This window comes from Homo sapiens, chromosome 7 (assembly GCF_000001405.40).
Source record: "Homo sapiens chromosome 7, GRCh38.p14 Primary Assembly".
In the NCBI taxonomy this organism is placed as follows: domain Eukaryota; kingdom Metazoa; phylum Chordata; class Mammalia; order Primates; family Hominidae; genus Homo; species Homo sapiens.
Genome location: NC_000007.14, coordinates 80,882,277 through 80,906,238, shown reverse-complemented (window position 1 = coordinate 80,906,238; position 23,962 = coordinate 80,882,277). Strand labels below are relative to the sequence as shown.

The window sequence follows — 23,962 nt, the reverse complement described above, 5'->3', positions numbered from 1 at the left end:
AATAACTAAAGATAAATTTGCTGAGGTCCCTTAATAGCATAGACATTTTTCAAGATACATACGTATCTGTATGAAGTTCCAACAATAGAAATTTTGTTCATCTTCCAGTGGAAGCAGGAAAATCTAGTTAGAATTGATTGTTGGTGAATTATGGATCGATAAGAGAAAAAAAGCTTTTAGGCCCTTTTGTAAAGCTTGTTATGTCCATCTGTCTCTCCTTCTTTTGCTCTCTACTCACCCAGCTTCCTTACAAAGAGGTTTTATTATTCAGTTAAAAAAAAAACAAAACAAAATTACATTCAATTCCATGACTCTTTTCCAGAGCCTACCTTGTACAATGCTGTGTGCTACATCTGTGGGTACAAAAAGAAGTGTGGCGTGAATTTGGTCCTCAGCAACCACCTACTCTAGTAAGTGGCATAAGCCAACCATGTAAATATTACACCAGGCAAACCCTGCTGCATACCATAAAAGAAGCATAGACACCTCACAGAAGGTGACATTTTAAAAGCAAAAATTATCTTAAACTAGTTTAGAGCATCAGCTTTAAACCCATTGTAGGCATTAATCATTTTGCTAGCAGGGATTAGCTTTATCATAGTTACAAACTGAATGGAGAGGGGAATTAAGCTGGAATGCCCGGGATGAGCTTATTGCACTTACACTTATTGCAGGAGTCTCCCGGCCTCTGGGGCAAAATGCTTTTGCTGATTTTGTTTTCTTTACCTCCAAATTCCCAACAGTGCCTGTAACTGTGCAGAGTCATTATGACTGCCTGACTGATAACTGACAAACAGGCTGACTTCTAATCGTCAAATTAAATCCAACTGCCCTGAGCATTTAAAATCCTAAACTGTCTGTGGTGGTGGTAGGGGTCTTGGTGTCTCTCTCTCTCTCTCTCTCCACCCCTCCCCCTCTCTCCCCCTCTCTCCCCCTCTCTCCCCCTCTCTCCCCCTCTCTCCCCCTCTCTCTCCCTCTCTCTCCCTATCTCTCCCTCTCTCTCCCTCTCTCTCCCTGTCTCTCCCTACCTCCCTCTTCCCACCTCCTCAAAAAAAAAAAAAAATGGCCATAATTGAGGGTTGCAGCAAAGGCATGAAAGAGGCTATTTTAAATATCAGGAGTTCAAAACAACATTACCTCAAGAAATGTCTTTCTTGACAGATTTCATACCCAGAGTTCAAAAGCTTTTTTTTTTCTCTGTGCTTTCATTTTCATCAGCAGTTTGCCACCCTATTATAGGGCCACAAGGCTTGAAGTTAGAAAGTTAGCGCTAAGATTCTGAAAATTCAGGAAAAAGAAACTGTAATTCTGAATTTTTGGAATGACTGGTAAGGTTAAACCTGAGACCCTAGGGCAGTGATTCTCAACCTTGGCTGTACGTTACCTAGAAGCTTTAAAAAATGCTGATGCCAAGGCCACACCCCAGACCAATTCAGTCACTATCTCTAGGGATGACACTAGTGTTGTAAAACTGTCCAGGTGACTTTAACCTACTGCCATATTTAGAAACCACTTCCCCCAATCCCTAAAATGCAGTTTCTGTTACACAACATGAAAGTGTCAGGGAACTCCTTTTAATAATAAAAGAGAACACTATTCAATCTAGTGTTCTAGCAGTTTTCAGGCTGCAATCGTTACTAAAAATTAAAGTTTAGCCCCCTTACTCAACAGTTGAGATTCTCAAAGCCAGGTAAATCATCATCAGTGTAGTGGTAACGCAGTTTGAGTGGCTACAACCCATTAAGAGTGAACAAATACCCTTCACTTACTCTGTGTGGAATGTGAAGATCCATTTCAAAGCCATGATTTAGAAAATTGTGTTCTATTTTCTATATCCTTTGTATTTTGAAACATAATGACATATCTGTAAGAATCTCAACAACATGAAAAGGTATTTAGGCCAGGTGTGACGGCTCATGCCTGTAATCCCAGCACTTTGGAGAGCTGAGGTGGGTGGATCACTTGAGGCCAGGAGTTCGAGACCAACCTGGCCAACATGGTGAAATCTAGTCTCTACTAAAATTACAAAAATTAGCCAGGCATGGTGGTGCACGGCTGTAGTCCCAGCTACTGGAGAGGCTGAGGCATGAGAATCACTTGAACCTAGGAGGTGGAGGTTGCAGTGAGCCGAGATCTTGCTACTGCACTCTAGCCTGGACAACAGAGCACAACTCTGTCTCAAATAAAATAAAATTAAATAGGCCTTTAGGTTACATCATCAGGCCTAACATATAGGGGATTAAATACAGGTTTGTGCAATAGATGCCCTCTGTGTCTAATGGTGGGATAATAGACTTTCTAAAAGATGAAGAAGCTATAGTGGTGGTAGGGGTAGGGGAGTGGAAGTAGAAGATAGGGAAGGCTTCCTGTCACTCACAAAAATATGTCACTTGTGGAAGTGGGAACAGGTTCTGGCTCTTTACATTTGTTTCCTTGTATATCATTTTTTTTAGCCTTTTAAATGATGTGTGATACGTAGTAGATACTTAACACACTAATGTACTGCATAATGATGTTTCCATTGAGAAGGACCACATGTATTATGGTAGTCTCATAAGATTTATTTTTAATTTTTTTGAGACAGAGTCTTGCTCTGTCACCCAGGCTGGAGTGCAGTGGCGTGATCTCAGCTCACTGCAACCTTTGCCTCCTGGGTTCAAGTGATTCTCCTGTCTCAGCCTCCTGAGTAGCTGGAAATATAGGCATGTGCCACCATGCCTGGCTAGTGCTTGTATTTTTAGTAGAGACGGGGGTTTCACCATGTTGGCCAGGCTGGTCCTGAACTCCTGACCTCAGGTGATCTGCCTGCCTCAGCCTCCCAAAGTGCTGGGATTACAGGCGTGAGCCATTGTGCCTGGCCCCATAAGATTATTATACTACATTTTTACTGTACCTTTTCTATGTTTAGATATGTTTGGATACACAAATGCCATTGTGTTACAGTTACCTACAGAATTTTGTACAGTAACGTGCTGTACAGGTTTGTACTGAGGAGCAGTAGGCTATAGCATATAGCCTAGGTGTGTAGTAAGAGATCCACCTAGGTTGGTATAAGTTAAATATATGATGTTCGCACAATGACAAAATTGCCTAATGACTCAGAACATACCTTCATTGTTAAGGGATGCGTGACTGCAAATACTTGAAAGTGAAAGAATGAATGAATTTTATCTGCATTAGGAGGGATGGGCAGAGGTAGAGCAGAAAGAACCAAAATAGTGGATCAAACCCTGTCAGGGCTCTCAGTTCCAGGATCATAAGGTGCCAGTAATTCAGCGGGCTTATGCTCTTACCGTTCTTCTTAGCACATAATCTTGGCTTAGGTCTCTGCCCTTTGTACTATAATCCTGCTGTTTTCACGTAGGCAGAAAAGCCATGGGCTAATGGCTGGCAGTTCTGTTTTGGTATACTCAACAACACACAAGGAAAAGTGTAAATACCCATGGGCCTCTAGAAATAAACCTGGGATTTCATTGAGGAATAGTGGAAACTTCACTGGAGCCTGGAAATGGGAACAAGACTGCCCCTGCTATTATGAGTTACAAATCATATATTATTTTAGTGTGATGTTGTGATATCATGACGACATGTGTTTTGGTTTTAAATGAATCATTGATGTTAGTTAGTCTTAAATACATGGATAGTTGAAAAATTGGACCATGGAAATTTATAGTTGTTTATGTGATCAATTTAATATTTGTGCTTTTTCCGGAACATAATTTTTCTTTAGCTATATGAGAGATTAACTTTGTTTTAATATGCACAGTTAGATGCTTTCATTTGCTTATAAACATAGCTACATATTTACAATTGAAAAAATTTGTAGGGAAAAAACTGTGTAACTGATAGGAGGTAGAAATAAGAAGTCTTATGGACAGGTCAGTAATAAACAGAACACAAATTGAGTACTTAGGGACTATGAAAATTGTCAGTGTTGGCTAGAAAGGATATGTCATCTTTACTTGTTCTTATTAAAACAACATGAAGCCCAGGTGCAGTGACTCACACCTGTAATCCCAACCTTTTGAGAGGCCAAGGTGGGCAGATAGCTTGAGTCCAGGAGTCCAAGACCAGCCTAGGTAACATGGTAAAATCCTTTCTCTACAAAACATACAGAAACTAGTTGAGTGCGGTGGTGCACACCTGTAGTCCCAACTACTCAGGAAGCTGAGGTAGGAGGATCACTTGAGCCTGTGAGGCAAAGAGTGCAGTGAGCTGTGATAGCGCCACTGCACTCCAGCCTGGGTGACAGCGAGACAGTCTCAAAAGCAACAACAAAAAAACCCAAACAACATGAATTGAAAAACTTTACATGGCCTTTATCAACAGCTTATAACATTCTTTGTTTTAGTGCATCAATATAATGTCTTTCATTATAGAAAAAAAGGAAAAATAACTTTTTTGTGGGAGGTATAAATTTAATACCTTATAATGTACAATATACCTAATATGGGCAAAGTCAGAGACACACATGTTACTCATTGGATGCCCTTTAGGCAAGATAAGAAAATTAGACAACTATTTTATGAAATGAAACAGCAGATGATATTCTAGGACATTGTGTATTTTTAAAATTGTAGTCACAGAAAACAAAGATACTGATTCCAAGCTTCTACCTACAACTTTACTGATTGATCTTTAATGGAAAGATACATTTTCCCTTTGAAAGAAGTGATTAAATGTAGTGTGCTTCTACTACTTAGCACTTGGCGGTAAGTTTTGCAAAGTATATAGATACAGTGAAGTAACTGACAAGTAAGAAATGCTTAGGATATAGTTGCAGGTGTAAAATATCAATATCTGATTTAGGAAACTGTAAGACTACAACTCTCTGTGTGTCAAAATGTGAGTTTCACAGCTGTGGTGCTTCCCTGGATGGAACAAAGAAAAATTGTTTTGCCTAATGGAAATTACTTCTGGACAACACTAAAATAGCCACATCAGTAAATCGTTGAATCACATAGTCAAGGATAGTTTTTATTTTTCACAGGATATTTACTTAATTTTTTGTTTTAGAATATTGTTGATAAAACCAAAATTATTAATTCTAACTAACTTGACAACTGGAAAAATTATTTGACTTTGTTATAATCTTTATGTTCCCAATTCATTTCTGGAGTTCATCCACCAAAATTAGATGCAGTAATTCGTTGTACCACCCTGTACAACAGGCAAAACTGTGACTCATTTCCTCCATCCAGTTATGCCAGAACTGTTTAGTGCAATGTACAAAATGAGGTGTTATGGCACAATATTTCCCAATTTATTTTTAAGCCATTCAGGCAATATATCCAACATCTTCTGTTCTAAGGAGCACACCTTAAAACACAAATTACATATTTTCCATACTTCATTCTTTTCTCTTTGTTATCTCAGCAGTACACAGGAAGAAAAGGTGATGGAGTATTTATAGTGTTGTACAATAAACTAGTCATGAAAGTGATTCATTTGTTATATAGAGTTACTTTTTAGTCTGTGCACGATTTACAGGCCAGTAGTGAATGGGCCCTCCCAACCTTTATCTTTGCCTTGTTCAAACCAAAATGGAAACAATTGATTCCCTTCTGCACAACCTCTGCTAGCTGAGGCAAATGTAGAAAGCCTAGGTCAGGCTCAGGAGCTGACTGCATGAGTGTGAAATCTTGCTTTACCACTTACTAGCCATGTAACTCATGGCAGTTGCCTCAACTTCCTCAACTGTTTACTAGGCTATACAATTAGGATAATATTAGTTGCTACCTGATAATATCATTGTGAATATTAAATTAGGTAATATGTGTAAAACACTTATCAAGATGTGACACACAGTAAAAACATACTAAATGTAGTTGGGCATGGTGGCTCATGCCTGTAATCCCAGCACTTTGGGAGACCAAGGTGGATGGATCACGAGGTCAGGAGATTGAGACCATCCTAGCTAACATGTTGAAACCCCGTCTCTCCTAAAAATACAAAAAATTAGCCAGGCGTGGTGGCGGGCACCTGTAGTCCCAGCTACCCGGGAGGCTGAGGCGGGAGAATGGCGTGAACCCGGGAGGTGGAGCTTGCAATGAGCTGAGATGGTGCCACTGCACTCCAGCCTGGGCAACAGAGCGAGACTCCGTCTCAAAGAAAAAAAAAAAACATACTAAATGTAAGATTATATAAAGTGAGGAAATTAAAAGATGACTAGGAATTAATGGGTATAATGTACACTATATGAGTGACAGTTATGTGAAAATCCCAGACTTCACCACTTTGCAGTCTGTCCATGTAACAAAACTGCACCTGTATCCCTTAAATTTACACAGATTTTAAAAGATAACTAGAATAGACTCCCTACCCTGAAGAAATGTATTGTCTGGGTATATTAAGAAATATTAATATAGAAGTAGAAAACTTGTCACTAGCCTAGAAAAGGATAGTCTTGGTTCATATAATATTTAAAAATGAATCAGCTGCTAACATTTAAGAATTAGACTTCAGTTGACAGTCTTTATTTCTCATTTTTTCTTGAAATGTCAGAGGATCTGGCAAGGACTGATGGGGGCTGAGAAGAGCCCTTCTTCTAGCCTGGTTTCTTTTACTAATTTATGTTACTTGCCTGACCTCAACAACATGGAGTTTTCTACTCTTGGTCTAGAGTAAAGCACAGTGACAGATAAAAAATTAATTTATATTTAAAGCAAAAGTTCTTATAAGAATGCTGTCTCCAGGGTGGTATTGATCAAGGCAGAGAAGAAAAAAAGTAGAACTGTTTATTTCAATGAAAATACAATTAGAAAAAAGTTAAAGTCATAAAACAAGGTGTATATCATATCTTTCTAACAATATGTCATATCATTTTAAAACTGAATAAAATAATGCATTTACTTTTGTCTTTGTCTACGAACATATTTGTTACGAAAAAATAAGTTGAGGCCGAGCACAGTGGCTCACACCTGTAATCCCAGCACTTTCGGAGGCCAAGATGGGCGGATTACCTGAGGTCAGGAGTTCGAGACCAGCCTGGCCAACATGGTAAAACCCTGTCTCTACTAAAAATACAAAAAGTAGCCGGGCGCAGTGGCACACGCCTGTAATCGCAGCTACTCAGGAGGCTGAGGCAGGAGAATTGCTTGAGCCCGGGCGGCGGAGGTTGCAGTGAGCCGAGATCATGCCACTGCACTTCAGCCTGGCCAACAGAGCGAGACTCTGTCTCAAACAAAAAAAATGTTGATAAAGTAGGGCACATAAGAATGTTTATTTAGTGAAGGGATTCAACAATAGCATTACTTCATTTTTATCCATTTGTGTACATAGGTGTGTATGTTGAGGTTTGTATGAAGCTACAAATCACCTATAAACCAATTTAGGCCATGTTGAAAGACTTTGGGATAGAATTCATCAAGCCACTACTATGACCAACAGTTCTCAATTTTTTTTTTTTTTTTTTGGTCAAACAAAAATTATGGACAGGCTGTGGCTACTAATAAGACAATGTGGGCTAATACTATTTTGCATAATTATTGTGAAAAAATTATTCTGTAATTTCAGTGAAAACCTATCCTACCTTTATGCAAGTATGTTTAAGGAAAGAGATTCCCTACCTGCGTGTCCTGATTCTCAATACAGAGTGATTATGGAAGCCTGATTCCCATGTCCTGTGAGCTGCAGGACTAGTGTGATTTGGTTCTGCCTATACTTTGCTAAATATTAACACAAAAAACATTGCTTGACACATGCATATTTTTATACATACAATAATTCTTATTAATACAATTACTCTGCTATATACTCATCTTTGTTTCTGTTATTATTATATATGGAATTCAGTGTTACTCATCTTCAATAAGAATTATTTCACATTTTAGTACTTAGATTTATATTTTTCTGTTGTTTGTTTGTTTGTTTTGAGACAAAATCTCGCTCTGTCACCCAGGCTGGAGTGCAGTGGCGCGATCTCGGCTCACTGCAACCTCTGTTTCCTGGGTTCAAGCGATTCTCCTGCCCCAGCCTCCCGAGTAGCTGGGACTACAGGCATGTGCCACCATGCCTGGCTAATTTTTGTATTTTTCGTCGGCACGCGGGGTTCAGCATGTTGGCCAGGCTGGTCTCAAACTCCTGACCTCAGGTGATCTGCCCACCTCAGCCTCCCAAAGTGCTAGGATTACAGGGGGTGAGCCACCATGCCTGGCTTATTTTTCTGTTTTTTAATCTACGATATATTTTAGAAAAAAGAATCTGGAATTGATCAATATAAACAGCCCCTAAATTATCTCGTTATCCTTTAGGACAATTGGCAAGAGTTTTAATAAGGCATGCCAGGCTCTAACTACAAAGAAAACAACCCTATATTTTTAAGTTTATAAACAATTTAGAAAAATAGCTTTATTATGTATTTATTCCAATGTATTTAGGATCCATTTTTCTATATTGTCTGACTGTAGTATCAATAAAGACACTTCACAACAAAGTAAACAATAAAATTTATGACTAAGCAAAGCTGAACAGTAGCTTTAATCTTTTAAATGGTAAATGAAGCCTTCTGAATTTCTATTTACTTGTTTGCTTATGCCAGTATCAAACCTTGCAGTCAATTAAACAGCCTCAAACTTTTTTTTAAGCATGTTTTCCTCATCTAGGTTATCTTTCTTCTCTTCAGTTTTTCTAATTCTTATTTCTACTATCCCTCTTCGTATCTGGGCACTATTTTCTATGTTTCCTATCATGAACATCTCCTCTCATTTTTACTTATCCTTTGCTTTTCTTCTCTGGTGTTCAAGAAGGGAGGTCAGAATTGGCCAGGGCATGTAGGCAAGTGTGGTCTGTTGACTAAAGCTTACTTAAAGCAGCTCTTTTACTACTGAATCTCTCCTGTAGTTCCCAGCCCCCAAAAGAAGGCACTACTTCCCTCTGGAGATCCACTTGTTATTCAAGGAACAAGGAAAGGATGTTGATATTTTAATGTTTTTATGGCCTTTTTCTTAGTGTTTTATGGTTTTATGTTTCTGTGTTTTTGATGGGAATTCCCAAATACAATGTTTCCACATGCTGCCTCATAACTCAGACAGCAAAAATGAATAGTTTTGTCTAGCTCTAGTTTATTTTAGATCTTTATTTTTCTAATAATTACTAAAAGGGAAATTAGAGGGAGAAGAATTGAGTAGAATTGCTAACATTCCAAAAATGTGTGCCAGTGGTTGAGTCAGGCCATGCAAGTTGCTGGCCCATCCCACAGCCCCATGCTCTCCGGCGCCTACCTGCCCCCACACCCCTGCCACACAAGTCTTGCTACCCTGCCACACACTGTCACCGGGTTTCCTTTCTTTTGAGATCGGAACACGAGACGGAGCATCAGGAGAGGGTGAAGAAATTGAGATACACAGGGAGAAAGCAGACATTGGAAGCTGGGTAAGGGCAGAAGACTTAAGGAAAGGAGAAGCCCCAAGGAAAGGAGAAGCCCCATTGAAGGGGCTTCTAGAAAAGTTGTCTCAGAAAGAAGAGAAGTTAGGATGTAGGCTAGCTGGTTCATAGCATGGCAAGGACCAGAATAGGGCCCAACAGACAATTCTGAGACAGCAAGTTGTGAAGAAACAACAACCAGGACTGATGGAGGGTCACAAGAGATCCTGTTAACTATTAGAGCTAAACAGCCTATTCCACCTGAGGTTCCAGTTAAGCATTAGGCTGATTTAGGAGGCTAAGACAACTTTTCTGTTTCCCTTTCTACGTTATCTCATATATTTAATTATCTCAAATAATTGTATATTGCATGTACCTTATCCTGCATATATCTAATGCATTCTCTTTAAAGGTAATCTGAGATATAACTTTTCTTGATAGCAGGTTTATGACTAAGGCTTAGCTAAATAACAGCATACAGTAATAGAGAAATGAGAAAGGACTCCTAGAGTTGGAGCAACTAGAGGGCAGACAACACAAGTTTTTACATAACTGTGATTTAACACAAATGGTTATATCAACTTTATTTTCCTGATTTTACTGAGGTTTGAAGCATTTTCAGTTTCTATACAATGGAATCAGTTATTGTAAATTAATGAATGAATTCCATGTTTACAGTTGTAGGGCTATTTTAAAAGACAATCATTGATTATTTTGGGGAAATCGAAAAAGCAATTTTAAAAATTCATATTGTAATATGAATTACAATATTAGATATTAATATCATGCTTAGACTACTATGGGGATATTACTAAGTACAATTGATAAGATAAACTAAACACAACTCTCATTCACATTACTGTATTATCTATATTTTCTTTTTATTTCACAATATTTCAGAAAATATTGTGAAACAAATTAAGGAGCAACTACAAATTTTATTCACAGGCCTAAATATCTGTCAGATGTTAAAGGATTATAGAAGAAAACTTTTAAAATGGATGAAATAAAGGTAATTAATTGCTATAGAATAAATTTTGCTTTAGACAGCCCTAAATTGAATCATCACCTTAATTTTTACAGATCCCAGAGATATTTTAAAAAGTAAGTAGCTGTTTGTATCTTTAACAAGATTTTTTAAGGCATTCTCCTCATTATAAAGCTCATAATTGTTTCCACCTAGATAATTAATAGATGACATGTATTCCTGAGACCCTTTTATGTTTAAATTTAATAATCTCTGCAACATTCTAATCATTCCGTGCACATGTGTAGTGTGATGTGTATATAAGGACTGAATTTGTTTTATTTTTCAAGGATTCGAATTTTTTGCAGATTTTTAACACCTTTATGAAAGTCATTTTGTTAAGTCTAGAGTCAAGAAATAATTTTTAAAAATTAAAAGATTGCTGCATCTGAACATTAGATGCAGTGAACATTGCCTTGCACTGTCAGTTTACATAGGAGAAACTAATGAGGCTGTAAAGAAATACTATCTGTTTTACTAGAATTTTTGACCAGTGAAACAAACAGCTGGAAAAACAGTGGTAGTCGGCTGGCTTCCATTTTCCATTGCTTTCTGCCCTTTACATTCAAATTTCCTCTTATTCATGACCACAGGCTCACCACACACATACTCCTTGGTTTGTTACTTTAAGCCACATGGAGATTAAGTGCCATTAGTAAAGACTAGTTTAGGAACAGTTTTAGGTGAAATAAATGGCACTTTCAAAGAGAAGGTGGATTTATGGAGTTTGTGTGTACATGCGCGTGCATGCTCACGTGTGTGTGGGGATAAATCAGTAAGGAAGAAATCAGGTGGTGATAGTTGGATGCCATTAGTGACTGGGACATGTTTTATTTTACAGTGTTATTTCTCACAGTTTAAAAGAAACATTAGAATCATCTAATCTGGCCCCTTATATTACAGCTGAGGGAGGCCCAAAGAGATGAAGAATCTTGGCTACTAGGCAGCGTAACTAGAACTTGGATATACTTATTACTTGTGCATCCATGGTGTTCCCCCATCATCACTCTCTTCTCTACCTAACCACTTAAGAAGTAAATGGAGGAATTGAGATAATGCAGTGTGAAGGATGATAAAAATAGGTTAAGAGTGGGTCCAATCAGGCATTAAAAAAAATAGTTATGAAAGGTAAATTAGGATCAGTTGCAAGAGTTTGGGGACCTAAAACAAGCAAAAATTAGTTGATTTATTAAAATATCCACTGTTTGCTCTTAGCATCCAAAGAAAAGAAGAAAAAGTAATAATGTGTAGTCATAGTCAGTCGTCTGCCTTCAAACCCCCAGTGCTAATGCATCAGACTGGGTTCAAATCCCGTTACCTTGGAAACAGCTTCTTTGGAGCAATGTGTGATTAAAAAAATTTTTTTGTAGAAACATGTGGCTATGAGTGCTACATTAAAAAAAATTCTTGTAATATTGAAAAACTAAATCATGTAAAATTTAATTCCAGTGAACATTGTATTGACATGACAATGTGAAACCATTGTGTAACACATCAAGAACTATTAATAATTCAGTTATTAGGGAGGTACAAAGATTTTATTTCCTAATTACAAATATACAGATCTAACTTACTGTGTTTTCTTTATATTCTTTAAAAATCGAGGTCTCTACATTTAAATAAGAAAAATGGTATACTCTACTTTCTTATGCACCTGCTATAATTAAAATTGTAATTACAGTATTCATGGATGAATTGGTAGTAGTATGTAGACAGTATTATCTACAAAAGAAAGCATTTGGTTGTTGTATGATAAATTGGATATTTATTTTTTAACGATGGCAAAGTAGATTGTTTATCCTTGGGAAATAGAACTAGTTTTCACAGCATTCATGTGTGTCAAGGGTTAAAATTCAAGTGAGTTGTAGAAATGGTAATTAAAGTAGAGGAATGTCTTCAGTTACCTTTCATTCATGATACAGCATGAAAACTCTCATAACGTTGTAACGTTGTTTACATTTTAAAAGTGCTTGTCTGTTTCAAAATGGCTGAAGTGTAATTTAACTGAAGTTTTTATAGGTTGGTTTTTCTTTTCCAGGAATTATGTATATACCTTGGAAATATCCTTAATGTATTCTCTGAATTATTTATGTAACCTCAGAGTCTATGTAAATCTAGGATGACATCTAACACCAAATACACAGTAGCACGTATCAATATGACCCCTCCACCCAAGCCTTCCAATATATTTCCCTTAAATAAAATAATTTAAAATTCTTCTTGAGCACCTACTGTATTTGAGGCATTGTCTTTTGTATCGAACAGACATCAGTAATTGGTAAATTTCTTTCTTGCCATGAACTTACAATCCCATAAGGAGATGATGAGAATAATAACTATATAACAGATGATATTATTAGCAATCAGTGTTGAAGGCTAGAGAGATAAAGGAAAAGGGGTGTAAAATCTTAGTTGTACCTGGAAAGAGTACAGTTTAAGAACATATGGTCAGGAAAGAAGGCAGAGAGTGTATCTGATAGAACAATGGTGTAGACATAAATTTCCCAATTTGTTCTGCCTCGAGTCTAAGACACCATGTCATGGATTTGAACAATGTTGATGGTGGAGACTCAGACAAATGGGGCTGGAGAAACCTAACCTGGCTCATGAACTGTCCAAACGATGAGACAAGTTGCCCTGACAGGGCAGTTGTTTGGAATTCAAGGTACATTAGGAGAAAAGGAGGGCTAGATAAGGAAAGCAATATAAATAAGCTAATGAAAAGGGATAAATATAACTAAAAATAAATAAAAACTCTGGGCTTCACATTTTCCACCTTTCGTCTTTTAGTCATCTGCTAATGAAGGAGCTTAAGGACAAGAGGTTTTATGAAGTTGAAGCACAACTTTAGGTTGCTCAATGTAACACAATCCCTAGCTTCTATCTTTATCAATGAAGAAAGAATAAGAAAATAAGAATAACCAATACCCTGTATTCCCTTAGAATAAAATCACAAGAAACACAGTCTTTTGTTTTCCAGAAAAGATTATTCTTGTTAGAGCCATGAAAAATGAAGGAAAAAAACATCAAATACAACCACATGTTCCAACCTTTAAAAGAGGAATTTTTTGTTCAAAGTGGGAATTTAGTTAGAAACTTGAGTAGACAAAGAGCAAAATACTTACGCCTGAATTTCTAGAAATGCCTTGTAAATACCTGTTAGACAACATGTCTTATTTAAGGAATCTATTTTTGTGAAAAATGATCTAATGTCCTAACTTCAACGGAAAAAAATATCAGCTTTTCTATAGTGTCTGTTAGGTATGAGGTACTCTACATTGTTGTTGTTGTTGTTTTTTTAAATTTTCTTTTGGTTTCAAAGCTTTTTAGTATACCATATTCTTACAATGTTTAGGACCTACTTTTGTTTCATTTTACAGACAATATACACACAACTTAATCACAGGTCTTGAATAAGAAGTAGAGAATCATACAAAAGGACGAAAATATCACAGATCACCTTGCTTTTAGAAAAAAACAAAGAAATTCCTACTGACTGTTAAAGTAAATAATGATCTCTCTGTAAATACATTTTAATAATCTATGCTAGGTCTCCCAGGAAAATATTAATGTGCATTTAACTTTTAATTATAAAACATTATAGAGAACTGCAGGATAAATGTCAAAATGATCCTAGTCAATTTGGCAAGTAGTAGTTTATTGCCTCCTGTAAAGATACTGTACAGAAGCCAATGATTTTTGTCTGTGATCCTACAATTCTACCATTATGCAAAGAGTTATTGCAAAGCTGTATCTCTGAATGAACTAGCCTATTAGTAATATAAGAATGAAAGATTTTATGGTTTATAAGATATTTACTATTTCTACTGTTTCAGATTTTTTGGGGAAGATAGTATCCTAAGCGTATGGGTAGGTATCTTATAAAATAATGGGAAAGAAAATAAATATTTCTGGTTGATTATTCTTGTTTGAATTATAAAACTATTGCTAATGCTTTTTACTTTAAAAAGTAAATTTTATAATAATATGACTTTTCTGCTTAGCATGGAAAAACAATCTTCATTTAGGGAAATTAAGATACTTTATATAATCTGGAGAATGAATTTTAGTTAAGAGAACGAAATCACTAGTCCTCATAGTTTTGTAACTTTTAGTTTGATTTTAACTATTAAATTCAGCAGGAAGGGTTAGACTATTTTCCCCCAGGACTCAATAAAATAATTTGCATTTTTCTTTTTTAAAAACATTTGAAAATATTTTTTAATTAATTGATATTTCCCATGTTTTTAATCATTTAAAACAAAGATAGGTGTGCAAAGAAAGGGCATGTATGTCTTCTTGTTTTTCCTTACTTTTTTTTTTGTTACCATTCTGATTCCTATCCCTCCATGTATATTTCAAATTGTTTGAAGAATTTTATGATGGATAAAGTTCATTTCTCAGAATTTAAGGGGGATGGAGAAGATAAGCTCTTCCTCTAGGCTGTTGCTACTAGGGAAGCAGTAGAAGTATTATGGGGGAGGGAGGGATAAGGAGTGAGTGGAATTGAACTCACTCAGTAACAGGTTTTGCAAAGTGAGGATGGACCTATGTCAGGAGTTTGGACGCAAGACGGGATATAGACGGAAGATGGCAGGAGGGCTTCAATGTCTGATGAGTTTCCTTCTGTTTCACTTATGGACAATCAGTAAATTAACCAAATATCACAAAATGCTGAGTGTGTCTGAAATTTATACGGAAACCAGTAAAAAGGTAGACCTCTATTACATGGAGCAGAAGCAAGTCCTCTATTACTAAGGGCAGAAGCGAGCAGACTGCTATAAATCAAGAAGTGAAACAGAGAAAAGTACAGAGGAATTAGACATGGAATTCCTGGAAGGCTTTTAATTGTGCTAGGCCCTGGAATTGAGATCTGAACCAATATTCATTAAATCTTATTAGTACAGGGAGGTCAGAGGACATGCAGATAACATGTGCATATGCTTCTCAAAGAAACAAGCTAAAATACAGCACTACAAAGATCATAAATTACTGGCTTTGTAGCCAGATGATGCATCAGTTTAAGGCACAGCACATTTGACTGTTGGAGATTTTTCAGAAAGTGATAATATGCAAATAATATCATATTAGCTAGGACGTTATTTTAAAAACCTTGCCAGAATCTAAACTTCCTTTGTAGGACTATTTCTCTGACATGAGCTCTTCGTTCTTCTTGGGTATTTTTGGAGCTCCATGAACTTTGTAGTTTATCATGTGTCAAGCCAGTTGGGGAAAGTTCAGCCACCACTGAACATGTGTATTTCAGTTTCCAGACCAATAGATTTAAAAAGTAGAAAGTATATAAACTCAGCCAAACCTCAAGTAAAAAGCAACTTTCATTTTTGAGCCTTTAGATTTGGTTGTTTAGAAGTGGTTTCTAAAGTTTATTTTACTAAGTACCCCTTCAAGATTTTAAGTTTTTTGAATATATTTTTATTTTTCTTTATACACTTTTAACTTAGACATTAGTCTTTTCATTGAGTTTTAAGGCCTATGTTGAAAAGGGGGCCACAACCAAAGGGAGAAATATTTGGGAATGCTTGCAGCATTGGAAGACCCTCAGCTTCCTTCAGAAAATATTTGCCTGTATATGTCATTGAGGAGATTATAAAAACAAGCTGTCTTTTTTTCTTGTCCTTGATTGACCCATAGTAATATTTTATCAAAAAATGATAGCAACAGATGTCAAAGATTTATGTACTGAAAATGTGATAGATTAACTTACACAAGTGCCCAGATTTTCAAAATCAATAGACCTTTTAGCCACAACATCAGTCCCTTCAATATGTTGGACTTCTGAAAACAAATGGTTTCTCTTAATGCACATCTAATCTGATTTACTTCTATACATTTTAATTAGTTTTCCAATTATAAGAATAATAGACTACATATCAAACAAGCAAACACCCAGAAACAATAGTTTGACTAATTTGCTTAAAGATACCAAAGGTATAATCTGAATGATTGATCGCCCACATCTGACTCCATCTGCCTGACTTGACTTAGTTATTTGTGATTCTGTTACTAAAAATTATCATGGATGAAACAAATTTATATCATTAGGCATTATTTGGGAGGATGCTATAAAGAAAAAAAGAATCTTTTTTTTCTTTTTACAATATATGATGTGTCATCATTTATTTTGTCATATTTATGTTTGTAATAACCACATCTCTGCCTTGAAAACATGGCACTTTAGAAAAGTATATAATTACTTTGATTTGTATTTATGTTACCCAAAATAATCTATACTTTTACTAATAATGCATAATACATCTGTAACCATACCTCTTTGAGGACAATATATTTTAAAGATTAAATTATAATTTAGAACCTATATTACAGATATCTTAAGTCTTTCACAGGAATGTGTTGTAATACAACAAAGAGGATAATGACATCTTCTATATTGATAGTAAATTATGTTTAATAAGTAATTATTTGAAGATTTATTCATAACGCAGAAAGATGATTATATGTAACAAAGTTTGTATATAAGATTAGGAATACAGAGACCTCTATTCTAGTTTTAATTTTACTACATCTTATTCCTGTAAACTTCACAATCTTTACATTTATTATACCTAAAAGAATATAATAATAACTGCCCTTTCTCAAATAAGGTTATTGCGAAGTCAAATGAAACAAAAAAGACATTCATATTTGTAATATAAAATTCAAAACATGGCCGAGCGTGGTGGCTTACGCCTGTAGTCCTGGCACTTTGAGAGGCTGAAGTGGGTGGATCACCTGAGGTGGGGAGTTGGAGACCAGCCTGGCCAACATGGTAAAACCCCATCTCTACTAAAACACAAAAATTAGCTGGGCGTGGTGGCACACGTCTCTAATCCCAGCTACTCGGGAGGCTGAGGCAGGAGAATCACTTGAACCTGGGAGGCAGAGGTTGCAGTGAGCAGAGATCGCGCCCTTGCACCCCAGCCAGGGTTCCTGAGTGAGACTCCATCTCAAAAGAAAAAAAAATTAAAATGCATTTCAAATAAAAGATAAAATCAAGGTACATTTTAACATTAAATTATGGGATAAAATATACCATCTTCTTAGTTGGACTCAATATTTTTTTGTTATTGTGGTTATAATATTTTAAATGTCTATAATGTCTATAAGGAAAACTGTATATAAAATCTTGGTATAAAAATCTTCATACTTTTGACACAAACAGAAGTAATGACATAAATGAAAATTCAGACACTTGAGAACGATAGTAGAAATGTCTTCCTTGTCCTTTGTTAATTACAATGTAGATAGATATTTTATGTATGTCTCCTAGATGTTTCTTTGCTACATTATTATTGGACTTAATGTTCACGTCAACAACCTTGTAAGAACCATGTAATTATTATCTATTTATTTATTTATTTATTTTTAGACAGGGTCTCACTCCCATCACCTAGACTGGGATGCAGTGATGTCATCTCAGCTCACTGCAGCCTCTACCTCCCTGGGCTTAGGTGATCCTCCTGCCTCAGCCTCCCAAGTGGCTCATTTTCCTGGACTCAGGTAATCCTCCTGCCTCGGCCTCCCAAATAACTGGGACTACAGGCACACTCCACCATGCCCGGCTAGTTTTTTGTATTTTTTGTAGAGATGGGGTTTTGCCATGTTGCCCAGGATAGTCTCCAACTCCTGAGCTCAAGGGATCCTCCTGCCTCAGCCTCTCAAAGTGCTGGGATTTACAGGCATGAGCCACCACACTTGGCCAATTATTTCTTTTTAAGTTGCCTAGAGACTCAGGAATCATTTCTGAGTTTTCATAGTTTAAGGGGAAAAATTGCCAGAGACTTCTTTCTAAAACATTTTATTTTTTAATGTAAAAATCACTAAATCTTTAAAACATGTAATAAGAGACCTTTTCAGACAAGTAGCATAAATCTACATTTCTGTCCTTCCAGCTATATTCTTTATGTAGACTATTTACTGTTGATAAATTGAAATCAAAATTACAATCAGAGATGTCTAAGATAATATAAAAATCAATATTTTAAAAGCCTCTATATTAGACTATGTCTAACACCAGAATATTGCCTTAAAGAGTTGAACGTATTTGGAGTCTTTTAAGATTTTTTCCCATGACAGGTAATTGTCAGTATGTATCCAATCTTAGTTATGCTTTTTACTCAGGATAAGCAGCTCTTTCAATTCATTTAAAAAATCTGTGATGTAATTAACTCTAAGAAATGTAAAGCCTGTAACCATCATCTAAATAACTGGTTTGACAGATAGATGGTAATAGTCTTTAACCTTTGCCTGAAGGCTACTGTATTGTTTAATACTGTAATTTGTTAGACATACTACCAATGCTTTGATTTGGAGATTCGATTCATCCATTTAATCTTGGGTCAGGGATTTGAATCATTGATTTAATCTTTCTGCTTTACTCTAAAGTTAATATATTTACTGAAGATAGAACCATAGTGAGAGGCATTCACTCTCACTATGAGAGAAACTCATGAGAGAAACTCACAGAGAAACTCACATAAAGTTTCAATAAATCGTGCTTTTCTATTTATTGACTTGTTTCCTCATACTATTTCTGTTATACCAAATTGAATTAATTGTTTTGAATACTAAAATTGGTGAGCATAATCTGTTTAGATATTTAATAACTGTTAAAACTTTGCAGACACTTAAAATATTTCATGTGAGAAAATTTAAATGTGCTTAATGTATTATGCCTTAAATTTTGGATCTGCTTTGTAAAATGGCACTGATACATTAAAATAGAAATCTTTTAAGGGAATATTTTAATTTCACTCCCTGGTAACTATATGTGTATGTCAAGAACTGAGAGGCTGAAATTTTAGTTAATTTAATTTATATAACATATTAATGATTTTATACAAACATGCACACATTTCAAGACTTTAGTGTTTAGCATTGAAAGAAAAATTGATCAATATTTGTTACCTAGCAATACCCTAATTCTTTTCTTACTGGTCTTGTTATTTAAAAAAATAGACTTGGTGAGATTATTAACTACATATATTCGGTCATATTATTCATAATTTAAGGTTAGAATAAATGCTGGTGACATTTTAGCACAAGGTTGGTTTAATAATTTTATGATGCAACATTTAACTAACTCCTTAGATATCTGAATTTTTGCTAACCAAGCAACTTCTAAGATGATATGTCATGGGAGAGCTTGAGAATGCAAGTCACTTTTAAGAAGTTTAACTGGCTGGGCAAGGTGGCTCATGCCTGTAATCCCAGCACTTTGGGAGGCTGAGGCAGGCAGATCATGAGGTCAGTAGTTCGAGACCAGCCTGACCAACATGGTGAAACCCCATCTGTACTAAAAATACAAAAATTAGCTGGGTATGGTGGTGCGTGCCTGTAATCCCAGCTACTCAGAAGGCTGAGACAGGAGAGTCACTTGAACCCAGGAGGCGGAGGTTGCAGTGAGCTGAGATCACACCACTGCACTCCATCCTGGGCAACAGAGCAAGACTCTGTCTCCAAAAAAAAAAAAAAAGTTTAATTTCCAGTTGTACAACATCCAGCTGAGCCTGTTTCATAAATGCACAGATATATGAATACATACTGCATATATGGTATATATTTATTATACCAATACCATGTCATAACCACATTAGCAGATCTTAGAAATTAAAAGTAAAAAAAAAAGGTAGACTTGATATGTGCAATAATATAAATTAATTTGCTGATTGGTCTTTTCTATTAGATAGAATCTTCAACAGTAGATGCATTCACTAGTAATTAACAATGTCTCTATTTGAGTTAGTTTGAATGGATAATGTGAGTATATTTTAGACTCAGTGGAATCTTACAAAAAACACAGCTGTCCTAAGGTCTCAAAGGGGACAACTGAAACTAAAAAATCAATATGTCATCAGCAGGTTTGTTGTAATAGATGCTTAGCACAGCAGGTTTGTATAAACTAATGACATACTGTGCGATGACAAGACAGTTAGATTAAAGGACTGCACAGGCACAGTCACTGGCCTGGAGCAGCAGAGGTTGCAAATATGTACATGCAGTATTTTTGGAGCGGTGGAATGTACATAGTTTATAGGTGCCTATGCTGGATATTGTTTTGAAAACTGATTTTAAATATAAATTTACATCACTTTGACTCATGTGTTTAAAACTTATATTATGAAAGAGCTGTTAAAGCTTTTACCTTAAACAATTGTATTTTCATGTGAACTCACCAACAACCAATATACAGGATATTTGTTTCTTTGTTTTTTGAGATAGGGTCTCACTGTGTTGCTCACGCTGAAGTGCAGTGGCGCAATCTCAGCTCACTGCAGTCTCTACTTTGTGGGCTCAAAGGATCCTCACACCTCAGCCTCCCAAGTAGCTGGGACTATGGGCATGCACCACCATGCCTGGCTAATTTTTTCATTTCTTTGTAGAGATGGGGTTTGTCATGTTGGTTAGGCAGGTCTTGAACTCCTGAGCTCAAGCAGTCCGCCCACCTCAGCCTCCCAAAGTGCTAGGATTACAGGTGTAAGCCACCAAGCCCAGTCATCCAGGTTTTTTAAGAAGGCAAAAACTATTCCTTAAACAATTTACCTAGGGATAAAAGAGGGGGAAAATGTAGAGAAGAGCTATCTTCCAAATGTCTGAAAACAAACAAACAAAAAAAGGTATTAGATTTCAGACATCAGGTGATACTCTGCTTCAGAAACAATATATTGGGAAAAATCCTGAGTTGCAAAACTATTAAACCAGTTAACACGTTTAATTATAAGAATTGTCTTTCTTGTCTCATTCTAAAGAGAAATGTCATCACAAAACGATAATCTTATGAAAGCTTTCAAGTACAAGGATTTCATAAAAAGAATGAATTCTACTCAACAGTAAAATATTTTGCTTGTACTTTGTGGGAACCAAATATTTTTAGAAGATTTTTTAAGAGCATCTAATCTGTATTTTTAAAATGCCGGTACTGGCCTTAATGTTTATTATTCTCCAGTTCTTTACACAGTGTTCCTACACCGTCAACATATTATCACAACCTGGTTTTTGATTTGTTATCACAATCTTGTGACCTTTAAGCAGAAATTTATGGTGTACATCAAAGCAGTAATAAACACATAAAGAAATTCTTCTACAAAGAAACAGTCACTTTACTATTTCTGCTGAACATGTGTTTAGAGTTTACATCTTGGTTACCTTGCACTAGCTTCCATGGCAGACAAAGCCGTTGTTTGTATGAGAGTGAACTGCTTACATTCTCGCATCAACACTTTCCCTCAAAAGCTGAAGTTTCCCTCTGCTTGCCTCTTCTGTTTAGACTGATGGAAAATATTTGCTACTTATCTTCACTACAGAATTGTCAATACAGAAGTCTGTAAAAAGTTTCATTAATTTATTCATCCTTTTGAATCATAGGAGTCTTTTAAAAAAATCGGATATATTTACAGAGTATCTAATGTTTGATAAGTTAGTTATGAGGGTCTCACATTTTTGTAGCGGTTAGGAAGAGACAATGTAGTTAAAAGTCCTCTATGTTAGAGTCAAGAAACTTGTTCTTGATGCTTTCACTAAGAGACTCATGATTTTGGACTAATCTCAATTTTGAGATTACCTATAAAATGTGGAAATTCAGATGGATAGTTATGTCTTAAATATTTCACATCTTTTAGGAGAAACAAGTTGATTGTATGAGATTTCATTTACATCTGTCTGCATATAAAATCGGGTAAATTTCTTGGGCTTTCACTTTTTTTATAACAATAAAATGAAAATGAGCTTATTAATAGATTAGAATTAAAATTCAAAACTAATGCAATTCAAAGAAAATGTACCATGTTAACAAGTATTTTTGCCAAAATGGAATTTCTGCTCATAAAGTGGCCATGACAGTGACTTAAACCCTAGATGTTAGGAAACGACCTCTTGGATTTATCACAGTGCCTCACTCTTAGTTCAGACTCTTAAAAACATTTCTTGTGGGAAGTAATGACTGCTAAGTAAAAATGAAAGTTGAGCAATGATTCTTGTGAATTATGAGTTAATTAATGGTATGACTGCATTTTGTTGAAGTCTCATGATTTAAAGATGTGCTCATTTTTTTTGCTCATGATTTAAAGATGTGCTTTGATACTCTGAAGGACCAAAGGGCAGTGAATCACTGTAAAGCTGCTTTTGAAACATGCCTTAGGGCAAATTGTGAGCCTTCATTTGTGTCCAGAATGGAAGGAACAGCAAGAAGCATGGGTGAGTCATAGGACAAAAACACAAAATGTCATTCCAAAGACAGGGTGGTGACCTTATGTCTGAGTATGCAAAAATCCAACTGGGGAAGTAAGAGGCCTGATCTTAAAAGTTCATGTATTAAGGGAAAACCCATACTTTTATCTTAGGAGATTATGATTATATAATTAGTTTTGTTTGATAATTCAGATGAGTTACCTCTGATTCAGTTTGAAAGTATCCCAGATCAAGCACAGTTCAAACACAGACACTCCTGGGACTGGTTCTGCTTTTTGTGATTGGAATAAGGGGTCCTGCTAAGGTGTGTGCTTCTGTCCTCAGATTTGGAACAGAATCTAAATTCCATGTGTGACGTAACCTGCTTAGTCACAAGCAACATTTTCAGACCCCTTTCCTTTAATTTTAGAAGGAGGCTGTTGATTTGGTATAATTATTTGTTAATGAATGCATTTTGTGTTCATTGCTAAGTATAAAAAAAGCACATATAGGATAGCTTGTGGCGTATTAACAAATGCTTGAGAGATAAAATATAAAGGTATATAACAGTAAAACATGAAAGAAGTCATTCAAAGCAATTTACCTAATGAAAGAGAGAGAACGTGTTTCCTCAGAGATTCAGGTGTATCTCATGGCATCCTCTTTTGTATCTTTCAGGTGTATTTACCTTTAGTTTGTTGTTGTTGTTGTTGTTGTTGTTATATAAGAGGGTTTAGGTAAATGTCACTTTCTGATAGGAGCCTCCTCATCAGGACCTTTTCTTTTTTAAATTTTCATATGTCTATTTTTATGTGAAAACTGTCCAAATAAAATATTTATATATAAAAGTTTTCCACATAACTCTAAAAGGGTTCTATTTGATGTCTTTACTGTATTATAGGACTTACAAAAAGAAAAGAAAAAGAATATATCCAATTAAAACAAGAAAGAACTCTTGAACCCAGCTATGCATACAAGAAAAATAAATTGTTTGAAGTGAGACATGAGGTAATCGAGACTCCTCAATGGGGAAAGTCAGTGCTCATCTGGCCCCTAGTGTGCCTGTTGAGCTGAAATATTTTATTGATGTGAGTGCTTAACAAATCACCAAATGCTCAGTGAATACCTATTATGTGTCATGAGCTCTATGAGGTAGCTTTTTTTCATACAGTCGTATTTTGGCAAATAAATAAATAATACGAGGCATAATTGACAGTGAAAATACCAAAAAAAAAAAAAAAAAAAAAAAAAAAGCATCCCTTACAAATTCCAGAATGTATTTTGAGGTTTCACTCAGCGCTATACAGTGATCACAAACTCCTTGCTATGGTTTAGTCTCTAAGAAAATAAAAATGCCAGAAGGTGTGTTACATTTCAGGCCAATAAAAC

The 23,962-nt window shown here is 35.8% G+C and overlaps 1 protein-coding gene across 3 annotated transcripts in view, besides 1 other annotated feature; it reads left to right on the top strand.

The window, feature by feature from the left end:
* The window catches only part of SEMA3C (semaphorin 3C), a 179,852-nt gene that overhangs the window by 16,151 nt on the left and 139,739 nt on the right, over positions 1–23,962 (top strand). The window contains exon 3 of one of the 3 annotated variants that reach the window (NM_001350121.2): positions 323–410. The exons of the other annotated variants lie outside the window; for them this stretch is intronic. The gene's annotated coding sequence lies outside the window, so the exon portion shown is untranslated. The remainder of the gene's footprint in view (positions 1–322; positions 411–23,962) is intronic. 3 annotated transcript variants of the gene reach the window in all.
* Positions 21,743–22,942: an enhancer, noted in NCBI's record as "P300/CBP strongly-dependent group 1 enhancer chr7:80512613-80513812 (GRCh37/hg19 assembly coordinates)". NCBI's record gives its function as "activates an origin of replication core promoter dependent on BRD2, BRD4, P300/CBP, MED14 and CDK7 cofactors, with strong dependence on P300/CBP, by STARR-seq in HCT116 cells {active_cell/tissue: HCT116}" and the evidence as "EXISTENCE:reporter gene assay evidence [ECO:0000049][PMID:35650434]".